Source organism: Homo sapiens, chromosome 8, assembly GCF_000001405.40.
Source record: "Homo sapiens chromosome 8, GRCh38.p14 Primary Assembly".
Lineage (NCBI taxonomy): Eukaryota > Metazoa > Chordata > Mammalia > Primates > Hominidae > Homo > Homo sapiens.
This window is the reverse complement of record NC_000008.11, coordinates 64,133,566-64,158,283: the sequence shown is the minus strand read 5'-3', so window position 1 is coordinate 64,158,283 and position 24,718 is coordinate 64,133,566. Positions and strand designations below refer to the sequence as shown.

The 24,718-nt window shown below is 36.1% G+C and overlaps 1 long non-coding RNA gene across 1 annotated transcript in view; it reads left to right on the top strand.

Annotated features, from left to right (window-relative positions):
- LINC01414 (long intergenic non-protein coding RNA 1414) overlaps positions 1–24,718 on the top strand; it is a 511,616-nt gene that overhangs the window by 210,275 nt on the left and 276,623 nt on the right. The window contains exon 3 of the long non-coding RNA NR_125826.1: positions 7,120–7,191. This is a non-coding gene — a long non-coding RNA (long intergenic non-protein coding RNA 1414). The remainder of the gene's footprint in view (positions 1–7,119; positions 7,192–24,718) is intronic.

Below are 24,718 nucleotides of genomic sequence, written 5' to 3'. Positions count from 1 at the left end.
CATAATAGGCAGATCAATAATAATTTTTAATAACAGAATGAATTTCTATGAATGTCTTTATTTATTTTAAAATACCTTATGCATACTCAGTAATGCATATCTCTGCAGATAGATTTTACTGTCAAAATAACATTGATAACCATTACTTCACTTCAGGAATGATAGAAGAGTTAACATTGACAATTCAGAGAAAAATGCTGTTAAAGTGTAAAGTATCTTTACTTTTTAGGGGCACTTTAATGCTTAGCTTTTGAGGTTTTTCTATTCGAATAGTGTGGTCCATTTCTATTCATTCCTAATGCTTTTTGTTTCTTAATTCTAGTCTCATGAAAAGGCTCTAAATAAATGTAGATTTCAATTAAAAGAGGCTAGACTGTTATTTATAATTAACCATCCTAATAGTATGAGATTGTTTACTAGCCAAATGAAATAGAAATGGTGGCTTTTACAATAAATTCAGGGTTGGAGCTTGTTGCAGCATATTTGACTTTCTGTTATGCCAACACAGCTGGAGGCAGATGGTGGAAGTGGTTCCGAGCCGCCTGCCCATGAATAATGGTAGGCAAGGGGAGCTCAGCCCTGCGGGAGGGTTCTGGCTCTGCCACTTTTAGGAGAGACTCAGAAATACCTCTTTGTGTTTAGAGTATTGTTACCTCTGAACAGGATAGAGACCCCCTGCTAAAGAGCAGGAAATAGGGAGCAATGCAGTTTGAAATTAAAATGATTACTTCACACACAAACACCCACACCCCATAACAGACAGCACATGGGCTGTGGAGTCTGCCTTCCCTTTCTGATTGGGAAGCCCTATGCTCCTTTTTTTTTTTTTTTTCACTTGTACCTTCGTGGGCACCATAATCTTCTATCCCTGTTGTTAGTTTTGACCCACTTCCAACACTTGCAGAATAATGTTAAGAGAATTGCAGTCTTAGGGCTTGATGTTAACAAACTTCCGTAAGTTGATACGATGGAGTGGACAACACTGCACACACGTTTATGGGGGTGTGACTACTATGATCACAGGCATCTCTGTTTTGTATACCTTCACCTCTCTCATTTTCATTTATCATTGTATTTTCTCACTTCTTTTCAACATTTCCTGCTCATTAATACATTCATGGATTTGGCAGAATATAGCGTTCTGTAGCAATGCTTTGGTCATCAACCACTTTGGCTATCACTGCCATACCATTGTCATAGGCAACGTCTTTCCTCTCCTGTGTGCCTTCAACAAGGCTAGCACGACAACCAGACAGGACTGCGCTGACCTTTAAAAAATTTTAAAGATGTTTAAATTATTTAGTTTGGAGGTTATTGTTTATCTTCGTTAAAGACTTCAAGTCAATAAGAATTATTTTTCAGAAGATAGTATGCTATCCTCCAGTTAAAGGGGAATAAAAATAATTTTGTCAAAATGTTAGTTAGCATCATTTTTACCTTAGTCCTACTTCAAAGTATTTGGTTTGGATGATTACAGATTGTTCTTTGGCACCAAACACATCCCTAAATATCAGCAATGTGACCTAAAACTGTGCTATCCAATATAGTAGTCATTAGTCATGTTTTAGTTCTAATTTAAATGAACTGAAATAAAATAAATTCTATTGCTTAATTAAACTAGTCATATGTCAACAAATCAATGTCCTCATGTTGCCAGTGTCTATCTACCCTTTTGGAGAGTGCAGATATAGAACATTTCCATTGCTGCAGAAACTTCTTTGGGTAGCACTATTCTAGGGCCTTCTATCCTTAGTCCTATACTGCAGGATTCCAGGATAGTATGCAGCACCCCTAAGACTACTTTAAAGAGTTGTATACTAGCTTCAAATTGTTCAGTTGACATTTTTTGTGTTTCTTTCTTTCTTCTTTTGTTCTTTTTTAATTTGTGTTATTTAGGAATCAGAAATCTCCAAGGGCACTTTGTTGAAATCATAAGTAGTGGAGTAGAAAATGGTACACTTATTCAGTAAATATTTTTGGAGTATATAGTTGAGGCTATACAATGTGCTAGGTATTGCAGATAACATAGCTAGGGAGAAAGATATAATCTCTGCCTGTATGGTGATAACATTGCAATAAAGGGCACACACAAAAACCAAATTTGTATATCTCTGAGATGTGTATAGAATCCCAGATTCCCTCCCCTTTTTTTTAATGGAGAATGGAATAGAAGTCCAGAAGTGCTGAAGATGAAACAAACCATTTGAATTGAGCTACCAATTGTCTGGTGATTCATTTAGATTTAGAGGTATCTAATATTTTTACATCAAACTACAGAATATCCTTACAACCTAAACACATTGCAACTTCTGGTAAGAAAAAGAAAAAATAGGAAGAATAGATGAAGCCGAAGGCAGGTAAAGTGAGAGAGTAAGGGACATGCCTGTTTTAGAGTAGACCTTTGGAATGGGTCTTACAAGAGGCTTTCAGAATTCTGGCCTGTCACAGGGAAGTGTGAGCCATGCATTCATTCATCTACTTGGTCATGCATTCATTCATTTACTTGTTCATTTTTTTCTATTCAGCATTTTCTGTGTTTGGTAATGTGCCCTAAGAGTAAAAGAACTTCAGGATCTATTTAATTTTAATCTGTAGTCATAAGACAGCTGGAATACACTAGAATTGGATCCAAAATTTAAATGTCCCATTCACATAGTGAAATCAAAGAGGTGGGCGATCCCTGTTCCAGTATATTGTTATGATACCCACTTGAAAGTTCAAAACCTTAGAAGAGGCCGGGGCGGTGGCTCATGTCTGTAATCCCAGCACTTTGGGAGGCCGAGACAGGCGGATCACTTGAGGTCAGAAGTTCGAGACCAGTCTGGCCAAAATAGTGAAACCCTGTCTCTACTAAAAATACAAAAATTAGCCAGGTGTGCTGGTGCATTCCTGTAATCCCAGCTACTCGGGAGGCTGAGGCAGGAGAATGTCTTGAACCCGGAATGTGGAGTTTGCAGTGAGGTGAGATCACGCCACTGCACTCCAGGCTAAGCAACAGAGTGAGTGACACTCCATCTCAAAAAGAAAAAACAAAACAAAAAACCTTGGAAGAAGGCATGTATGCCCCAAAATGCATTTGTTTTTATCCAGTCTTTGTCTGTTGCAAGCAAGTTTTATTAAACATGGATATTGCCTGACCCATAGGTGGGGGTTAGGGATTGATTTGGGAGAACATGTTGAATGTCTTCAAGGTTTTGTCTAAATGGGCATTGAGATTGCTAGTGATGGGGTTCAGAACATGCTACCCCAAAATATGGCACTTTGACATACTGAATATTTTAAAGTGAAAGAATTTGAGAAAGAGGGCGGAAACAGAAAGTTCACTCTCACTTTCCCCTATCTTTCTCCCCTGAAGCAGATCAGAAGAACCTCATGTGAGAAGTGTTCTCTCTTATCTAAAGAAAAGAAGCATCTTTGTCTCCAAAGATGAAGAAACACAGAGAAGAATCTGAACGAACAAGCTTGCTAAGTTTCCCCCCGTTTATTACCATTAGATCACACCCTTTTGCCCTATCATATTTCTCCATAATGGCCTACTCTTCATCAAACCTACTATAAAATACTCAGATTTACCCATTTTGGGGGGTCTTCCTTTCCTTATGAAGGCTCTCATGTCAGGTAAAACTCATATTAAGTATTTGCATACTTTTATTTTGTAAATCTTTGGTTATTGGGGCCTCAGCCATGAATCTAAGATAGGTAAAGGAAAAGATATTTTTCTTCCCCTATATTAGATTGCTACATTTTTTTCCCTGATGACTGAGAGATAAATTGATCATCTGTAGTCAGATAAAGTCTGGTGTTAATGGCACCTCTTTCTAGACAACTCCTCAAACAACTTCTAAATAACTTCTCGAGTGATGATGTTTCTGTCCTTCTTACTAAAAAAATACCTCGTCCTGCTTAACATATGCTTTGCTAATTTTGTGTTTCTAACCCCATCACATTGTGTGGCATCCTTAACAAAATCAGTATATTTCACTTACTTTTGTGACTGATACATGAAGCACAGGGATCATACTTGAAGTAACAAAGCTCTGAAGCCTCATTTCAATACTACTTAGTTGGTTACCTGTGTAGTCAGTTGAACATCCAACCCATATGTCCTGTGAGAGAAGGAATCATATTTGTCTGGTCCAGAGATGGTTCCCCATTACCAAGCATATGACTCAAACGTAATTTGCCATCACTACACATGCAAATACACACACATGTAAGCTCACGCACACACACACACACACACACATTGTTGGAGGGGTGAAAATGGATAAGTCAATCAGCATGTAATGTTGATCTTTTCTCCTACAGATAGCTTACTGAAATTTAAGTAGACATAATTGGAGGGTACTCTCGTGTTTATTGAATATTGTATAGACTCCATTCTTCCTTGATGTATTTTCAAACAAGGTTCTCTGTAGTTATTTTCTCTTCTGTCAAAAGATAGGGATAGTGCTGGTGCCAGGTTCTCGACACTGAAAAGGGCCTAATGGTTTGGGTTACAGCTTGGAGTTCTTTTAGGTGGGTATTCAATTGGCAGTATAATTCTTGCTGGAAGAGCAGATTTTCTGAGTTTGAATCCTGGCTCCACTGCTTTCTAGATTTTTGGACTTCAGCAAAGTTACTTAACTTCTCTGTGCTTCAGTTTTTATTTGTAGAATAAAGATGATAATTGTGCCTATCTTACATATATTGTGAAATACTTTAAATTGTTCCTGGCACACCGAGTGCTCAATTAATTTTAGTAATTGTTATTATTATTTTATTTTCCCAAGATTCTTAGCTTATTGCCAAATATAATACGTGCTTAAAATTGAAATGAACAAATGAATGAGTGTGTGGTGAATATTTTCTTCTGCTTAGAAAAGATATCCGTGAGATTTTTTTTTTTACTGCTGCTAGAATAGAAGTGTATGGAGAAATGATATATGTCCATCCAGCTTTCATGACCCTTACTCAATGGAAGACGGAAATGAGAGCGACATAAGCAGCCTTTTGCTTTCTAAAATTGGTTATTTTACTACAATTCATTAATTGCTTTCATGCTGCCACATTTATCTATCATTAAATTGCAGAAAATATATTATTTTTACACTTATTGAATGAAGAAAGTGAGAATTTGCCTGCAAGGAGTAGATGGGAGTGGATGCAAATGTTTATTTTATTAAAATAATTAAAACATGTAGAAGAAATAATACTAACAATATCAAGGATAATAACAATAGGCATTTATTGAGTGTTGTGTGTTCAATTAATTTATAATTAATTCATATATACCATCTCATTTAATATTTACAAGACCTCTATGAAGTAGGAGTTAATATTACCACATTATGATGAAACTAATATTTGAGAAAGTTAGGTACCTCCATCAGTGTCACACATTAAAAGAGGTGTTTGGAACTGGCTAATCTAATTTCATAACATGAAAGTGTAAAATACTGTCTTAGTTTGGAAAAAACAATGGTCAATTAGCAGTGTGCTGTTAAACCAGCTCTCTGAAAACAAAAGCAAAAGTTTTGATTTGTAGCATATGCTGATTTCCAAGTTGGAAATGCTCCCACCATAGCCATGGTCAACTTCGAGACGACAGTGTGATATCTGCTGGCTCCCAGAATTCATGAACCTTAACAATCAGCTCTGGCCGCTTCAGCCCAGCACTGGTGGAGATAACTAGCCCATCAGTGTGGCTCAGGGGCTTGCCAACGATGTGCAGCAGTGGCGGTGGCATGGATCGGCAAAAAGTTATGATGATGCACAATAGGGACAACATTTCACTGCGGGCACATGAAAGAAAAGAAAAAGTACCTGGACAACTCAAAAGAATGATTATGGTTTGGGCGGAAAAAAATTGAATTTAAGCTCATTTGGCAGAGAAGACCAGGAGCCAGATGCTGAAAGTGATTTGAACTTGGTCTAGGGATTTATGACATTTAAAAACAAACCCAAAACCTTCCTTATTAAGATAGGAATTTGGTGGCAGAAACACTTATTTACCTTAACTGAGAGAGGAAATAGGCAAAACTATAGCCACATTTTCTGTTTCTGTGAATTCATAGGAACTTCCCCACAGAAAGATGTCTGAGCTTTGCTGGAAGGTGAATTCAACTTTGAAAATAAAAAGAGAAATTCATTGCTCATTTAGCTGCCTTAAATCATCTCTAGGATAAGATATTATATATGTATATGCATGCATAAAACATACATATGTATATGTAGAGAGACATATATATGCAATACATGTACATACATAATTCATTCATCTATGAGATATTAGACGAAGCACCATTTGGTACCCTGAAGTATCCAGCTTTACATTTTCCAAATCTCTACTAGCCCACTCTTTCTAATGTTCACCTTCTGGAACCATGCAGGTTGCAAAGTGAATGGAAATTAGCTGTCTATGGGTGTTCATCAGACACTGAAGAATACAGTTGGGTTGCAGCAGCTGTTATTTTCTGGCAGAAACCAAATCATTTGGAATGCTGCAGAATGAGAAGCTTCCTGTCAACTGGTGGCACTTACCACAAGGGAGCAGAGGCCTTTTTACGCCTGCTCTTAATCTGCAATTCTAGAAATTCACTCATTTTTCTTACTCAGCAATGTCTACTTTTCTCATTAACAAGAAAAATCTATGAACAGATTGACTGTGTTGTTCCTGCAGTGTCTGGAGAGACACATGTTTGCATATGGGGGTGAGATGGGTAGAATTGGCTCCTTTTTAAGATTTTCCTGTAGTCTTCTGTTTAACCTGAAATAAGCACATGGTAGTAGAAATGTACAGAAAAGATTATTAGTCTATGCTACACGAACAAGATTCCATTATTTCAGAGTAAATTAAAGGTAGCCAGAAACGCTGTCAGACTTTGGCATGATGAAAGGCAAGTGAAAGTTAAAGGAAAGACACAATAGTTTCAATTACTTTGAATCTCATAATGTCAAAGTTATGATACCCTTTGTTGCTTAACAAGTAGAATTGGTTTTAAGCCCTTTATACTCAAGTTCTTCTTGATGAAACAAAAATATGAGAAATTGCTTCTTCATGGGACATAGAAGGCTTTGTAAAATACAGTGTAGTTTTCTGTAGTTTTATATGAGGTTCTGCTTTCTACTATTTTACAGTTGCTGTGCTCCACCTTCATACCTTCGCCTATGTTAGAACTTCTGAGAAGCTGAAGCATCACATATAAAAAGGTCTGAAGAATAATATCACTTGGGTTAACATGGGTCAGTTGTCTTTGGATTGCTTTGTATATCTATCTATCTATCTATCTATCTATCTATCTATCTATCTATCTATCTATCTATCTATCTATCTATCTGTCTATCCATCCATCCATCCATCCATCCAATCTATCTATCTATCTGTCTGTCTGTCTGTCTGTCTGTCTGTCTGTCTGCCTGTCTGTCTGTCTGTCTGTCTATCTATCTATCTATCTATCTATCTATCTATCTATCTATCTATCTGAATGTCTTTTTTCTTCAATCAGGTGATAGTTGTATTCTACTTTTGGTTTAGTCATTAGAGTTAACAAGCTTCCAGAAAAATCAGCATCTCATGATGTCTCTTCAAGAGTGTCAGTGAAGCTGGCTTCTGAATGTATTCTGTTAACTTTATTGCACAAACCAAGGAGCTCATAGTCTCATACTCCTATTGGATAGCCTGAAGGATGCTTGTATTTGATCAAAGTATTGCTGTGTGTTTATTCATTCATTTATTTATTTATTCTCTACGCAGTGACCAAAATGGAGGAAGCAGCAAAATATCTATCCTGTTTAGAGCCTAGCATTTCGTGTCTAAAACCAGTGATTTTCCAAGAAAAATCTATCCAATTCCACTCAATTACTTTTTACTGAGCACCTACAAAGTAATAAACCCGATGCTAGATACCATCAAATCCTTGAAGTCTAGGGAGTGTGACTGTCTTAGTCTGTTGGTGCTGCCATAAGAAAATACCTGAAACTGGATAGCTTTTAAGCAACATAAATGTATTTCTCAACATTCTGGAAAGTCCAAGATCAAGGTGCTGGCAGATTCATCCCTTGTGAGGGCCCAGGCTCTACTTCCAAGGTGGCAGCTGGAATATTGTTTCCTCACATGGCAGATGGGCAAAAAAGGGACAAATATTATGGTCTCACATGGCAGAAGATAGGGAAGGAGTCCAACTCACCTCTTAAGTCCTTTTATAAATCACCAGTTGACTCTATGAGGGTGGAGCCCTTATGGTGTAATAATTTCCTAAGTGCTCCATCTCTTAATACTCTTGCATTGGGGTTTAGGTTTCAATATGAATTTTAGAGAGGACACAAACACTCAAACTATAGCATTGACAAACTATTTTTTTGTTGTTATCAGATTGTACACCTTGTTACTACTTAAAAGTATAAACAGGGACTTCAAAATAAATTTATCCTCCTTTTACAAAATGGTATAATTTTTCTAGCTACATAAAATATTTCAAACCTCTCTTCATCTGGTTTATTGACGGATCCTTTAACAAATACTGTTTTAGCTGCTATTAATAATTTGTAATTTTAAAGTATTTGAGGATAATAACTTTTTCTGCATTATCTTCTCATTTCGTTTATTAAAATGGCTAATGACTTTCACAAAAAAATTTTTAAAGAGTCAATGGCCTCATGTACTGTTATGTGTAAAAAAAAAAAGAAAAAATGGATCCAATGTCTGCATACTATATAAATAAAAACAGTGTTGAAAATTTTTATTTGAAGGTTCTTTGTTTTCAATTACAAAACTTTATACTTTGGTTAAAGATCTTAACATTTTCCATTTTCCCACATAAATAATAAAGAGTTCTTTAGAAAGACATTACTAGTGTATAAAATGCTGTTGCAAATTAAAAAGAATCGGCAAGATAAATTTTAATATAGTCACTTGAGCTATTCAAATCTTCTCACTAAAGTTATTTCTTGTTATAACATGAAAGCTAGAGAAGAAAAATGTGTTCACTTGAGTTGATATTCAGACAAACTCAAAAGATTTCATCCTTTGACCTAAATAAGACAAAAGTGAAAAAGGGGCTCAAGATGGTCTCATTTTGTCGCAATCAATCAGAAGTCCTCCACTTCACAGTATGAAGTCTGAAAATAACGGCCAGATTCACCTCCTATGGGATTGAGTGTACATATTCTGTATATTCCCATATATATGATTTAGGGCATAAATATGATACTTTTTAAATAAGGTAGAGCTATGAAAAATTTAGATGTTTTAGTTCAAAACTTCATGAACTTATTTTGTTGTGAATTGGCAATGTGTGTTGGCTTTATGTTTAGTTTGAAGTTTGGTTAATTTAAAAAATTACCAATTTACTAAAACTTAATTTTGGTGCGTAAAACACCCTATGTCACTTATTGCTTTCATAGTTTTAGGTTTTCAGTTTTCCAGAATATTTTCAAAAGATAAATAGGATTTCATCAATAAAGACTTTAGATTCCAAATTGTGTGGTTTGGAATGACAATGTATATACATTTAGTCATTATTTTTAACACACATTGCTGTTCTAAGTCACTCAACAGAAAAGTTTTTCTATTGAAAATTACATTTCCTTATATTTATATTGGGCTTTCCACATTTGCAAAATACTTTCACAGCAATACTTTGATCAATGCTTGTTGCACTTGAATGAAAATATGAATGAATTTATTGTCTCATTTTACTCTGATAACTGCACTTTGACATCCAGTTTTATTACTCCTGTATTTCAAAAGAGGAAAGTGAAGCTCCAAGGCCACAGGGCTTCTACTGGTTTTCCTGCAAGAACTGAAACTAAAAACCAGAATAATCTTATTCCCAACCCTGTCCTATTCGCTCACATTTTTAATTAATAAAATTGCAGCACCATTGTTCTTGTTGTTTTCTATTCTAGACACTATTGCAACATGGATCTCACTGTCAAACAGGTTTCAAACTTTTAGAAATGCCCATTTAACAAAAGTTTTAGTAAATAAAACTTTTGCTAATCAGCAAATGTCTATTGGGTGTCTGCTATGTGCAAGGTACTGAACAAAATGGGCACAGATCTGCCCTCTTGAAGCTTACACTGGAGAAGGGGCAGAGAATCAAACATTGTAAGTAAATCAATGATATAATACATTAGCAAGTGCTCAATAATGTGCAGGAATAGGTAGCATGGATGTTAAAAGTTACCCTAGGGTAGACTGAAAAATTAAAGAAGGTAGCCAAAGAAGGTCTCTCTTACAACATGGTGTTTGAATAGAGATTTGAAAAAAGTGAGGAAGCAGGCTAAGTTGATGTGTGAGTAACAGATGTTCTAGACAGAGAGAAGGCATGTGAAGCTTTGGTGGAGGGTGCCCTGGCCAGTAGGAGAAGCTGGAAGAGATCAGACAACTGAAGCAGAAGTGGGGATTGCAGGTAATCAGGTCAGAGGAGAAGGCTTGGGGGAGGACAGCGCTGGGTGGTGGTGGTGACTTGAAGGCCATGGTAAGAACTGTGGCTTTTACTTAGTGAGATAAGTTGTGTTGAGCATAATTTATGTTCCAGCAGGATTGGTTCACTGCTGTGTTGAGAATAGACTTTGAAGGCCATGGTGGAAACAGGAAGACCAATTTCAAACATATTGGAATAATCCAGGGAGAAATGATGATAGTATGGATAAGGGTGATAGAAGTATTGATGGTAAGAAGTCGATATACATATATATATATATATTTTTCTTTTTTTTTTGAGACAGAGTCTTGCTCTGTCGCCCAGGCTGGAGGGCAGTGGCGCGATCTCTGCTCACTGCAAGCTCCGCCCCCCGGGTTCACGCCATTCTCCTGCGTCAGCCTCCTGAGTAGCTGGGACTACAGGCGCCCGCAACCACGCTTGGCTGCTTTTTTGTATTATTGGTAGAGACAGGGTTTCACCGTGTTAGCCAGGATGGTCTCAATCTCCTGACCTCGTGATCTACCCGCCTCGGCCTCCCAAAGTGCCAGGATTACAGGCGTGAGCCACTGCTAAAGACGTCGATATATTTTTAATGTCCCATGAGATTCGCTCAAGGAATAGATGTGTGGTGTAGGAGAAAACAACACATCAAAGATAAAGTGTTTGGCCTTAGCAATTAATATTATTGGAGTATCAACAATTGATATAGAAAAGACTGTGGGAAAAGCAGGTTTGGGAGTAAAGGGAGTTTGCTTTCACTGTGTTTGGTTTAAGAAGCCAGTTAGCCATCAAAAGGAAATATATAAATGGTTTGGATATAACAGTCTGGAGTTCAGGGGACTCTGGATTGAATATACAAATTTGGCAGTTCTCAGGATATATACATGGTACGTAGTCTTGACACTGGATGGGAACACCTATGGTGTGAGTTTATATAGGGAAGAAGAGACATCCAAGAATACGATTAAGTAGGTTTGTTTTGTGATGGTTGTTGTTGTTTCGAAGAGGGAAGAAATATATTTACATGCCGATGGGAATAATCTAGTACAGAGGGAATGGTTGTTAACATATGAGAGAGAGGAAGAATTTCTAGAACAATGTTCTTGAATAGGCAAGAGAAATAGGATTTAATCCAAAGTGAGGTGGGTTGTTTGTAGGTACAGACAGTTTATAACAACAAGAAAGAAGACAGAATTACCGATGAATATAGTGATGAGAATTTGGAATGCTTATATTTTCTTAGTGAAATAGCAAGTAAGGACAGATGCTGAACAGGAAAAGGGGTGGAGAGGAAAGCTGCTGAATATTTCCAAGGAAAGTGTAGAAAATCATTATCTGGAGTGAATAGACTTGGGAAAGTGAGTATGTTTATTGGCCAGCAATAAGAACCTCTTTAGATTCTCATGGGCATTAATTTAAAATTATGCTGGTCAGTAGAAATCTTGTGCTCTTTTTTTTTCTTGTGTGGATGTAGACACGCAGGGGTAGAAAATTGTATTTAAACCAGGACTGATATGGAACCAAAAAAAAAGTTTGCCCATCGATGCTGCCTCTGACAAATCTTGTCCAAAAAGGGGAAAATGGGAACTAGAAATAAAATTATAAGCCTCCCAACTGACTGAACAGATTATCTCTTGACCAAAGAGACCCCAGATTAATCTTGAAAACTAAGTTCTCAGCCTCAACAGAATGAGGGGTCAGACAAATCTCATTATACCTCTTCCCTTGCTAACCACAATTAGGCTGTCTTCCCTAAGAGCCTATTGGGAACAAGCTTTTTCAAAAGACACCACTACTGGTATCAACCAACCACTTCACGCTGCCCCCTTTTTTTTTTTTTTTTTTTTTTTGCCTGGTAAGAGACCACTGACCATAGAATGGTTCTGGCCAGATTACAGAGGATGCACAGTGAGAGTTTTTGCATTCTCTGCTTCACCTTTTGATGTCAGAGGGCCAAAACCTCCATCCTCATATCATGCTGACTCCACCATTTTTTGATCATGGGTGCCGTGGAAAGGCAAAAAGCTCGACTGCATACATGCAGGTCTCCTTTTTTCATAAATGTTAATGACTCTTCTTATAGGTTATTGAATATGTATATTTGTCCATGCTGCTCAGCATAAACTCCTGTTCCATTTGCCCCTCCTTCAAAGTGTCTGCTTTTGGCTTCCAGCCAGAGGCTGTGCTTCCCAGCCTGTCAGAATGGTCACCCTACAGGCTGCAACCCTTTATGAGAAATGAAGCTCTCCTTTCCAAATTTAAAAATGAAAATAAACGAGGTCTGGAACTTTCTTAAGCTAGTGTAATAATGTAAGGGAGGTGCAAAGGAGTAAAGTGTTTGTGAAGAAATAATTTAAAAGATTAACCATAGAGTGCAAGTGTACTAAAAAGGAAGATGAGGCAATAAGAGAATTGAAGAGTTGGGTATAGGTGTTCTGATTCATGAGATGGAAGTACCTGTGGGACCGAAGGATTGTTGGAGTCAGTGAGGTAGACAGAATGGACTGAGGATATAGGAAGCAGTGGTCATAAAGCAGAAAACTTGGAATTAAGGTTATGGAAAGGGTGAAATCATTGAAAAAATAATTTCAAAGTTTAGTGAATGACCAAGAAGTGAGTGACTGAAGTAAGGTGAAGAAGAAGATCGTTGGAGGGGAGGAGTCCAAGGAAACAAGAGGCCAGAATATTGGAAGGATCATCTTCATAGATACTGAAGTTACCAAGAAGTAAGATGGAAATAGTGCTGAAGAGAAGGACCTGATCCAGCAGGCAAAATCTTTACATAAAAGAGGGAGAGTTGGTAGATGATTGGTATAGTTTGATCACATGAGATTCAAAGCTGATTATTTTAGGGGAGGAAGAATGGCCAGAATGCATGAAAAAGGAGCAAGGATACCCAGACAACTTCAAGTTCATTATTGTGATGATGTAGGAGGCAAAACTGCTGCTAGTAGGAGCAGGGAGGTAAAAGGAAACTCAGAAAACAGAAAGAAGCTATGCAGGATTTACTATGGATGAATATGAGCAAGAAGAGCTACAGTGGAAGGGTAGTTGAAGGAGGTAGGATGAAGGATAAAGAATGGATTACAAAGCCTTCTGATGGCAGAGTTTAGGAGATACTTATGGTTTAGGATAATTTTCAAAAGAATATTTGGATAGTATAGCGTTTATGATAAAATTTTCTTGTTACATTTCTGTGTTTATAGTACCAGAATTTATTCGCTTTTTCTCCCCTTTTAAAAAAATTGGGCCAGCACTTTAGGAGCCTGAGGCAGGCAGATTGCTTGAGTCCAGGAGTTCAAGACCACCTTGGGCAACATGGCAAAACCCCATCTCTACAAAAAAATACAAAAATTAGCCAGGTATGGTGGTGTGCACCTGTAGTCCCAGCTACCTGGGGAGCTGAGGGGAGAAGATTGCTTGAGCCCAGGAGGTTGAGACTTTGGTGAGCCGAGACTGTGCCACTGCACTCCTGCCTGGATGACAAAGCAAGACTCTGTTAAAAACAAAACAAAACAAAACAAAAAAACAGATACATAGTAGATGTACATAGTTTAGGGATACATGGGATAATTTAATACATTCATATAATTGATGAATATCAAATCAGTGCACTTAAGATATCCATCATCTTAAATATTTGCCTTTTCTTATGCTAGAAACATCTGAATTATTCATCTCTACCTATTTTGAAATGTACAATTGATTATTGTAAGCTATAGTCACTCTACTGATCTATCAAACACTAGCTCCTATTTCTTCCATCAAACCATATATTTGACTCCATCAATCAACTGCTCCTCATCACCTCTCCCCCTTTCCCTATAATTCCCAATCTCTGGTAACCACTGATTTACTCTTTATATTCATGAGATCCAATTTTTTAGTTCTCATGTGCAAATGAGAATATATGATATTTGTCTTTTTGTGCTTGGCTTATTTCACTTAACATAATGACCCTAAGTTCCATCTATGTTGCTGAAAATGACAAAATTTTATTTACTTTTATGGCTTAATAATATTTCAGTGAGTATAGATACCACATTTTCTCTATCTGTTCATAGGCACTTAGGTTGATTCCATAATGTGGCTATTGTGAATAGTGCTGCAATCACCTTAGAGGTGCTATATCTCTTCTATATATTAATTTTCTTTCTTTCGGATATATAACCAGCAATAGAATTACTGATCATATGGTATTTCTATTTTCAGTTTTTTGAGGAATCTCCATCCTTTTCTCCATCGTGGGTATACTAATTCACATTCCCACTAACAGTGTGTGAGAGTTTCCCTGTCTCCATATCCTGGCCATCAACTGTTGTTACCTGTCTTTTTGATAAAAATCATTTTAACTTAGGTGATATGATATCTCATTATAGTTTTGATTTGCATTTTTCTGATGATTAGTGATTTTAGCATTTTTTTCTTATAGCTGTTGGCCATTTATATTTCTTCTTTTAAGAAATATCTATTCAGATCTTTTGCCCAGTTTTTAATTGACTTACTTATTTATAGGCTATTGAGTTGTTTGAGCTCTGTATACATTGTGGTTCTTAATCTCTTATCAGATGGATGGTTTGCCAGTGTTGTCTCCCATTATGCAGGTTTTCTCTTCACTGTGTTGATTGTTTATGTTGCTGAGTAGAAGCTTTTAGCTTGACGAGCAACCATTTGTTTATTTTTGTTTTGGTTGCCTGTGATTTTAAAGTCTTACACAATGATCTTTGCCCGGACCAATGTCTTGAAGCATTTCTTCAGTGTTTCCTTACAGTAGTTTTATAGTTTCAGGTCTTACATTTAAGTCTTTAATCAATTTTGGGTTGATTTTTTGTGCATATTAAGAGATGGGGGTCTAGTTTCTCTTCTGTATATAGTTATCCAGTTTTCTCAGTACCATTTATTGAAAAGACTGTCTTTTCCATATTGTATGTTCTTGGCACCATTGCCAAAGTTAAGTTCACTGTAGATGGATGAATTTATCTTGTGGTTCTGTAGTCTATTTCATTGGTCTATGTGTCTGTTTTTATGCCAATACCATGTTGATTTGGTTAATATAGCTTTGTAGTAAATTTTGATGTGAAGTAATGTGATGCTTGCAGCTTTGTCCTTTTTGCTCAGCACTGCTTTAGCTATTTGGGGTCTTTTGTAGATCCATATAAATTATAGATTTTTTTCCTAATTCTGTGAAGAATGTCAATGGAATTTGATAGGGATTGCATTGAATTTGTAGATTGTTTTAGATAGCATTGCCATTTTAATAATATTAATTCTAATTCCTAAGCATGGAATATCTCCCCTTTGTGTGTCCTCTTTAATTTCTTTCCTCAGCATTTTATAGTCTTCCTTTTATAGATCTTTCACTTCTTTGGTTAAAATGATTCCTAGGTAGTTTCTATTTATTGTAGCTATTGTAAATAAGATTATCTTCTAGATTTCTTTTTCAGAATGTTCACTGTTGGCATATATAAATGCTACTGACTTTTGTATATTGATTTTATATCCTGAAACCTTACTGAATTTATTCATTCTAACAGTTTTCTGGTGGAGTCTTTAGGTTTTCATAAGTATAAAATCATGTCATATTGGAACAAGGCTAATTTGACTTCTTCGTTTCCAATTTGGATAGCATTTATTTCTTTATCTTGCCTAATTGCTCTAACCAGGACTTCCAGTACTATGTTGAATATGTTGGTATTAGTTCTTTAAATGTTTGGTAGAAATCTTCAGTGAAACCATCAGGTCTTGGGATTTTCTTTGATGGGACACTTTATATTACACCTTCAATGTCATTACTTGTTATTGCTTTGTTGAGGTTTTCTATTTCTTCATAGTTCAATCTTGGAAGGTTATATGTGTGTATTAGGCTGTGCTTGCACTGTTATAAAAAATCAGAGACTGGGTAATATATAAGAAAAGAGGCTTAATTGACTCATAGTTCTCTAGGCCATACAGGAAGCATAGTGGCATCTGCTTGGCTTCTAGGGAGGCTTCAAAAAGCTTCCAATAGCAGTAGAAGGCAAAGGGGGAGCAGGCACATCACATGGTGAGAATGGGAGCAAGAGAGCGAGAGGGAGGAGAGGTGCCACACACTTTTAAGCAACTAGATCTCATGGAACTCACTATTGCAAGAACAGCATCAAGAGGATGGTGTTAAACTATAAGAAATCTGCCCCCATGATACAATCACCTCCCACCACGCCCCACCTTCAGCACTGGGGATTAGAATTCAACATGAGATTTGGGCAGGGACTAATATCCAAACTAAATCAATGTGTCCATTAATTTATCTGTTTTATCTATGCTTGATTCCTTGTATTTCTGTGCTCTCAGTTGTTATGTCTCTTTTTTCATTTTTGATTTTATTAATTTGGGCCTTCTTTTTTTCTTAGTCTAGCTAAAGTTTTGTTGATTTTGTTTATCTTTTCAAAAAAGTGATTTCTCATTTTATTGATTGCATTTTTTAATCTCAAATTCATTTATTTCTGCTTGGTTTTTATTATTTCTTTTCTTCTACTAATTTTGCCTTAGGTTTGTTCTTGCTTTTCTAGTTCCTTGAGCTGCATTATTAGGTTGATTATTTAAAGCTTCTACTTTTTTGATATAGTCATTTGATGCTATAAATTTCCCTCTTAGTACTGCTTTTGTGTATCCCATACATTTTGGTATGTTGTATTTTCATTTTTATTTGTTTAAAGACATTTCAAATTTTTAAAAATTTTCTTCATTGACCCTCTGGTTCTTTAGGAACATAATGTTTAATTGCCATGTGTTTGGGTAGTTTCTGAGGCTTTATTTGTTATAGATTACTAGTTTTATTCCATTGTGGTCAGAGAAAGTACATCATGTGATTTTTATATTTATGAATTTGTTCAGACTTCTTTTGTGGCCAGAGATATGGTCTATTCTGGAAAATGTTTTATGTGCTGATGAAAAAAATGTGTTTTCTGCAGCAGTTGGGTAAAATGTTCTGTAAGTGTCAGTTGGGCCTACTGAGTCTAGTGGGTAGTTTAATTCTGATGTTTCTTTGTTGATTTTCTGTCTGGCTGATCTGTCCATTACTGAGAATGGGCTGTTATTGTCCCCTAATATTATTGAATTGCAATCTATCTCTTTATTTAAATCTATTAATTTCTGTTTTGTATACTTGAGAATGCCTCTATTTGATTCATAGATATTTATAATTGTTATATTCTCTTATTGAATTGACCACTTTATAGTAACCTTCTTTGTCTCATTTTATAGTCTTTGATTTGTAGTCTATTTTATTTAATATACATATAGTGACTCCTGCTCTTTTTTGTTTCTATTTGCATGAAATAGCTTTTTCCATTCCTTTACTTTCAGTCTGTGTCTTTATAGGTGAAGTGAACTTCTTATAGGCAGCATATAGTCAAATCTTTATTCTTTCAGCCACTCTATGCCTTTTAATTGGAGAATTGAGTCCATTTACTTTTTTGCTTTATTTCTTGTTGCTTTATAACCTCTGTCTTCATTTCTTACTTCTTTACTGTCTTTCTTTGTGGTTAAGTTACTTTTTCTTGGTATCATTTTTAAAATTATTCCTTTCTATTAGAGTTTTTGCATTGTGGTTACCATGAGGCTTGCAAAAAATATCTTATAGATAATAGCATGTTATTTTAAAGAGACGACAACTTACCTTAGATCACAATGAAAAGAATAAAAACAAAAACAAAACAAAATTCTATGTTTTAACTCCGTCTTCCCCACACTTTGCCTTTTAGTTTTCTCAATTTACATATTTTTATATTGCCTATTTATTAACAGATTGTTGTAGATAATATAACTTTTGATAGTTTTGTTTTGGGCTTCATACTAGAGTTATGAATGGGTTTCATACCACAATTCCAGTATCAGAGTATTCTGGTTTTGTCCACGTACTTAATTTGACCAGTGGGTGTTATACCTTTAATTTTTTGTGTGTGCACATTAGTGTGTTTTTCTTTCAGACTGAATAACTCTCTTTAGCATTTGTTATAAGACGGGTCTGGTGGTACTAAATTCTCTCAGCTTTTGTTTGCCTGGAAAAGACCTTAATCTTCTTTGTAGTTGAAGGATAACTTTTTTGGATACAATATTCTTGGATGGCGGTTTTTATTTTTAAGCACTTTGAAAATGTTATTCCTCTCATCCTGTCCAGTATGGTTTCTACTGAGAAGTCAGTTGCCAGGCAAATTGGAACTCCTTTATATGTTATTTATTTCTTTTCTGTTATTGCTCATAGGATTCTCTCTTTGTCCTTGACCTTTGAGAGTTGATTTATTTGGCTTGAATTTATTTGGTGTTATCTGACCTTCCTGTACCTAGATATTTATATTTTTTCTCAAGTTTTGGAAAGTTTTCTATTATTACTTCTTTAAATAAGATTTCTAGCCTTTGCTTTTGTTCAGTTCTCTCTTAGACACCAATAATTCTCAGATTTTTTTCTTTTGAGGTAATTTTTATTATCTTGTCAGTGGTATACAACATTTTTATTTATTTTTTTTTCATTTTTATTCTTCATGTATTTTTCAAATAGTCTGTCTTTGAGCTCACCAATTCCATCCTCTGCTTGATCTATTATGGTATTGAGAACCTCTAATAAATTTTTCAGTTAAGCAAATGTGTTTCTCAGTTCTAAGATTCCTGTTTGAATTTTTAAAATTATATCAATCTTGTAGTTAAATTTCTCTGATAAACTTTCAAGTTGCCTTTGTGTCTTTTGGAGATCACTGAATTTCTTTAAAATAGCTCTTGAATTTTTGGTCACAGAGCTCACATATCACCAACTCATTAGGGTCAGTTACTGGTTTCTTGCTATGTCTATTTAGGGAGGTCATAGTTCTCTATTTACTATTGTGTTTTTTTGGATGTATGTCTGTATCTTTGCACTGGAGGGTGAATTATTTATTTCAGTCTTTCCTATTTGGCTTGTTTTGTTTTTTACTGGATATATTTTCTTAAAGAGTCTTTACCCCTAGCTTGCTGCCTCCTTTTAAGCTCTAAGTGTTGATTTAATCCCAGGTTCTCCTCACCTCTAGTAAACAATGAAAGCACTGTCTGTTCCAAATGGGGAAGTTCCAAAAGCGGGGTATCCCAGTGGCTTGAAAAGACTGGCTAGGCGTTTGTGCACCAGGAACCTGCGGGAATTTACCTCCTACAGTACAGTGCTGCTGAATGGCCACTGTAATTTGACATCTCCTTTGGCTAAGTTATAGGGCAGAATTTTAAACTCTCGGGATGGTAGTTTTACCACTCCTTTTTGTCTCTGACCATCCTCAAAGATATATCTCCCTTTGGGTACTTGTGATGCTTCCTATGGGTTCGGACAAGGATGAGTTTTTGCCAGGGTAGCCGAGGTGTTGAGGAAGCTGGTTGTCCACCTCAATCTCACTTTGTCTACAGTGGAAACCATGAGTCAGGGAAAAATTTTTGCACACTTGGTGCCAAGCAGATTGGGAGACAGATGTCATGAATATGGAAGTCTGGTTCTCTTATTGTATACTTGAAGTTTTTTCACTTCTCTGTGATCTGAACTGTCTCTTCCTCATATTTGAGTTCTGGGATATTGCTGGTGACAATCTTGGCACTCTATATTAGTTTTTTATTTTCCAGGGGGTGGGAGGAGTGAAGTCAGCTTATTTCTACATGGCCATTTTGGAACCAGAAGTCTATTCACTTTTATAACAATGAACTATAACCATTGTATTCTGACTACATATATATATGTACATGTGTATAAACACATTTTATGAGTCACAGTGCCTCCAGTTCCAGAAACTTAACTCAGTTAGGTTGGGTTTGTTTTGTTTTTAATGGACCTTAGAAAACATTTACAAAATAAAATTTATTTTATAACATAAAAGAAAAGCCATATGTAAAAGATAAGTAAAGTAGGCATTAAAAGGCAAGATACAGTAGTATTTAAATGTCAGTAATTTTTAATTAAGAAATGTATTTATTCTGCAAATATTTAATAATTCTTTGGTGTAATTAATCATGCAACTTTGTGCAAAATGTTTTATGACTTACAGCCAGAATGTATACTTTAAATTTCATATGAAATCTGGCCGGCCATGGTGGCTCATGCCTATAATCCCAGCACTTTGGGAGGCCGAGGTGGGTGGATAACTTGAGATCAGGAGTTCAAAACCAGCCTGGCCAACATGGTAAAACCCCATCTCTACTAAAAATACAAAAAATAAATTAGCCAAGTGTGTTGGTGGGCACCTGTAATCCTGGCTACTCAGGAGGCTGAGGCAGGAGAATCACCTGAAGCCGGCAGGTGGAGGTTGTAGTGAGCTGAGATTGCACCACTGCACTCCAGCCTGGGTGACAGAGCAAGGCTCCCTCTCCAAAAACAAAATAAAATAAAATAAAATAAAATAGTAAATAAATACATAAATTTCATATGAAAACAAACATACAAAAGTAAATATGATTTTTCAAAATATACAAAAGTAACATAAATTATCTATTTATTATGACATATTTTGATAGTAAAAAGAGAAAAACTCTTCTATGCTATATCAGGTAGTTTAACATTTTATTTTGAAAACACAATGTCACGAATAAAGACTTCTAACATTTTTAAATGCATTGCATCATGCCTCTCAATATAGAACTTGTAGAGAGCACTAAGTGACTTAGAAATTCTCATGGGTAATGCAATTGTAGTGTTCATTCTATCAGTTCCAGCATCTTTTTATGATCCATAATGTAATAATATGAAAAAGCTAGGTTACTGTCTCCCAAAGTGTGTTCCTGGGAGTATACATCAGAAGTGTTATCAGAAAAGGGAGTTCTATAAACAATGTTAATAACTGGGAACTTCCAATATATAAAAATTGTGCATTGTAAGTTTTCTGCCATATGACACAGTTTCTAGCTTACTAAAATTATTTTGCAGTGGAATCTTTATTTTTTAGAAAACATATTTAACAATGCATACTTTAGGAAGGCTGACCTAGAGAGCAAGTTAAATCCACTTCTGAAATATTAACATAATTTGTCTTTAACTTTTTTTGGAGTGTTCACTAGTAGCAATGCTTTTACTAAGCATAGCATAGCTAAAGCCATCTTTTCTGCCTCCTTGGGTCACATTGTTACTTCATTTACTGCTAATAACACTAGCCAGCACTGAGGCATTGCTGATTCAAAATTGAAGAAATCAACTGACGATTCACTCTTTAGGTAATAGAACCTACCTGTACAAATAGCTTTACTGGATGGTGTGATGGTTCCATGAAATAATATCCTGCAGGTGAGTGAGAAAGAGCAAGCAAGCCTGTAGCTGATGGATGACTAAACCAAGAGTGTAATCGAGAGAAAGAAATTAGGTCTGCTTTTGCTCCTGGGGAGAGAGAGACGACTAAATCTGTCATGGGGTTTCAAAAACCACAAGGCAAGCATTATCAAGCAAAAAGCAAAGCAGGTTATGAAATTTCAGCTTTTGACTTTGGATGCTGAATTGCTAATAATATGTAGGACTGAATATATGTTATGCATATTTAAAATTTTTTTTAAAAACCATGTGATTATAGCCATTGAGTTTCATAAGAAATATTTCTTTCATATTTTTAAAAAAATTCTTCAGGTACTTCAGTAAGCTGATTGATTATCCTCATCCCTTGGAAACATTTCTTCAAAGTTACCCCATGTATTGTAAAACATTACAGCTTTATAAGAGACTGAGTTAAACATTGTTCTTTGGTACAGAATGATTAGGCAAGTCAGACTTCATAGTGATGATTTCCCGAAACAAATCATTTAGCGTCCACTGACCCAATTTTCTTCATTTGTGAATGAGGATGCTGGGGAGGAAAAAGGAGAGGAATAAAACACAAACAAGGAGAGATTGTTAGGTAATTATTAGCCAGACTCTGCTGTGGCAGAGTCAAAGATAAAAATCACGTGGTTCCTGCCTTCAAGGAGCTTTCAATAAAATAGGTGGAATTAAAAATAACACAAAAGTAAGAATAGCATGCTATGAAAATCCAGAGAGAGGAATGATTGTGTACATGGGGGCTACTTGGCAGGGCTTTCTATAGGTACGATATCAAGGGCACGAAATTTGAATGATTAAAGGAGAAAAAGTTTAGACTAAACAAAATGTCTTAGTTTGGGTTGCTGTACCAAAACGCCATAGACTGAGTGGCTTATAAAGAGCAGAAATTTATTTCTTACAGTTATGGGGACTGAGAAGTCTAAGATAAAGGTATCTGATCAGGGCTGCTTCCTGGTTCATAGAGAGCTGTCTTCTTGCTGTGTCCTCCATAACAGAGAGGGCAAAGGACCTCTGCTGTGCTTCCTTTATAATGGCACTAATACCATTCATGAGGGCTGTCCTCATGACCTATCAACCTCCCACTAGCCCCACCCTCTGATTCCATTGCCTTGGGGCTCAGGATTTCAACGTATGAGTTTTTGAGGGATACAAACCATATCACAACCCATAGAACAAGACACTAGCAATGTTGTCTTTCTCCTCATTTAGCTTGAGACCCAAGTAGCCCATGGTTTGACAGCAAATTTCTCCAACTTTTGCCTTCTACCCTACACTGAAGATATTTATTATTTTCTAGCCTAGACTGTTATCCCATCTGTTTCTACAAGGATTTTCTATTTCTGCTTAACCTATTCAGATTGACAATATTCCTACTAAGCTTTTGGTGGCCTTACGTCTCATGATGTTGCTTCTTGTCCTTCTACTCTGCTCTGCCTCTGCTTCTAAACATCTGGGACACTACTGCTTGCCTGGGAGGTGTAATTAGACAAGTGGGCATGGACTTGAGCAATAAAAAAGATAACCAGGAAAAGAGAGCTGTCTTCAAGGGAGAACTACTGTTGCATTTGGCCAAAAATCATGGTAGAGAAAAGGGACTAGTGGTGTGAAATAAGGCCTGGAAGACAAATGGGAGCCCTCCCATGAAATTCTTGAATGTTCATTTAGCTAAAAAGTCAGACTATTTTCTTTTGTAAGAAATGGGAACATATTTAATATATTTTATCAATAAAGTAATGTGCTATAGATTTTTTTATTATGAAGGTTAATTTGGTGGCCACAAATAAAGTGGATTGGTAACAGAACAGGCTCATGAAATAGTTAATAGAAGTTGATCTAGACATAAAATTAGAAATAAGACAATTTTGGAAGTAAATCCATAGGATATTATGGTAAATCAAAAATGAGTCTGAGGAAGAGACAGCACTCATGTAATTCCCAACAACTGCTGTATAATAACAGGAGTATTTGAGACCCAGAGGATAAAACTGTTAACGAAAAACAGGAAAGTTCACGTGAAGAACATGGTTTTATGCCCATAAGAGGTGGTATGAAATGGTAAGAAATAGGCTAAATTTGGAAAGAGAAGCTAAGGTTTGTGTCTCATCTTGGACAAATTTTAACTTTTGTGAATCTAATTTGTCTCAGATAATACCTCTCTTGCAGAATGGTTAAATGAATAATATGAAACAGTTACGGAAGTTCCTGCACATAGTTGGTGCTTTACAAAATTTTGCCTGGAGTTGAATCTCCGGGTGGGAATGGGCCTTTTAATTCTGATGCAGCTAGATCAGGCACCCTTCCTATACTTAAATATGTTCCCCAGCTTCTGTACCGTGGCCATTCTGCTCACACATGGACTCCTCCAGAGACAGAGAGCTTCACACCTTGCCGTATAACTCATTTTGCCCTCAGACGGTCTTGTATGCCAACAATTTTGTATATGATGTGAAGTGTCTTCATAAATACAGTTTAGGAAGTGTCGATTCTCAAGCCTTACTGTGCATGAGCACTGCTCCAGCAGCTTAAGGTCCCAGTGAGATTTGTGCTGTGTTCATCTGTGGAACAGCACAGGAATTTGTGTTTTAAGGAGTTTTCTGAGTGATTCTGATGATGAAGTTCTTTGATAAACATTATCCCAGAACTTCCCCCACATGTCCTATTTTGGCCTCTAAATGTTATATAGAATAAACTTATAATGATTCAAGAAAATTGCTAGTCAGTCTCCAGTGACTTTCTTTTCCAAGTATAGTGTGAAATTATATGTAAAAGTACTTTGGAAAAACAAAAGAAGCACATAAAATTACTTTAAACATTATTATGAGGTGGAAGAACATTTTAGTGAATCTTTAAATAGCAATTCTTATCATCACAGTTAATATTTATTAATGGTTTCTATATGCCACCTCTACTTCATACCTTATTCTGTTTAATGTTCATATTTCATTATTTTACCATTATACAGTTGAGACTTAGAAAAGTTATCTTTCCCAGGGTCACAAAATGGCATGGCCAAATTTTAAACACT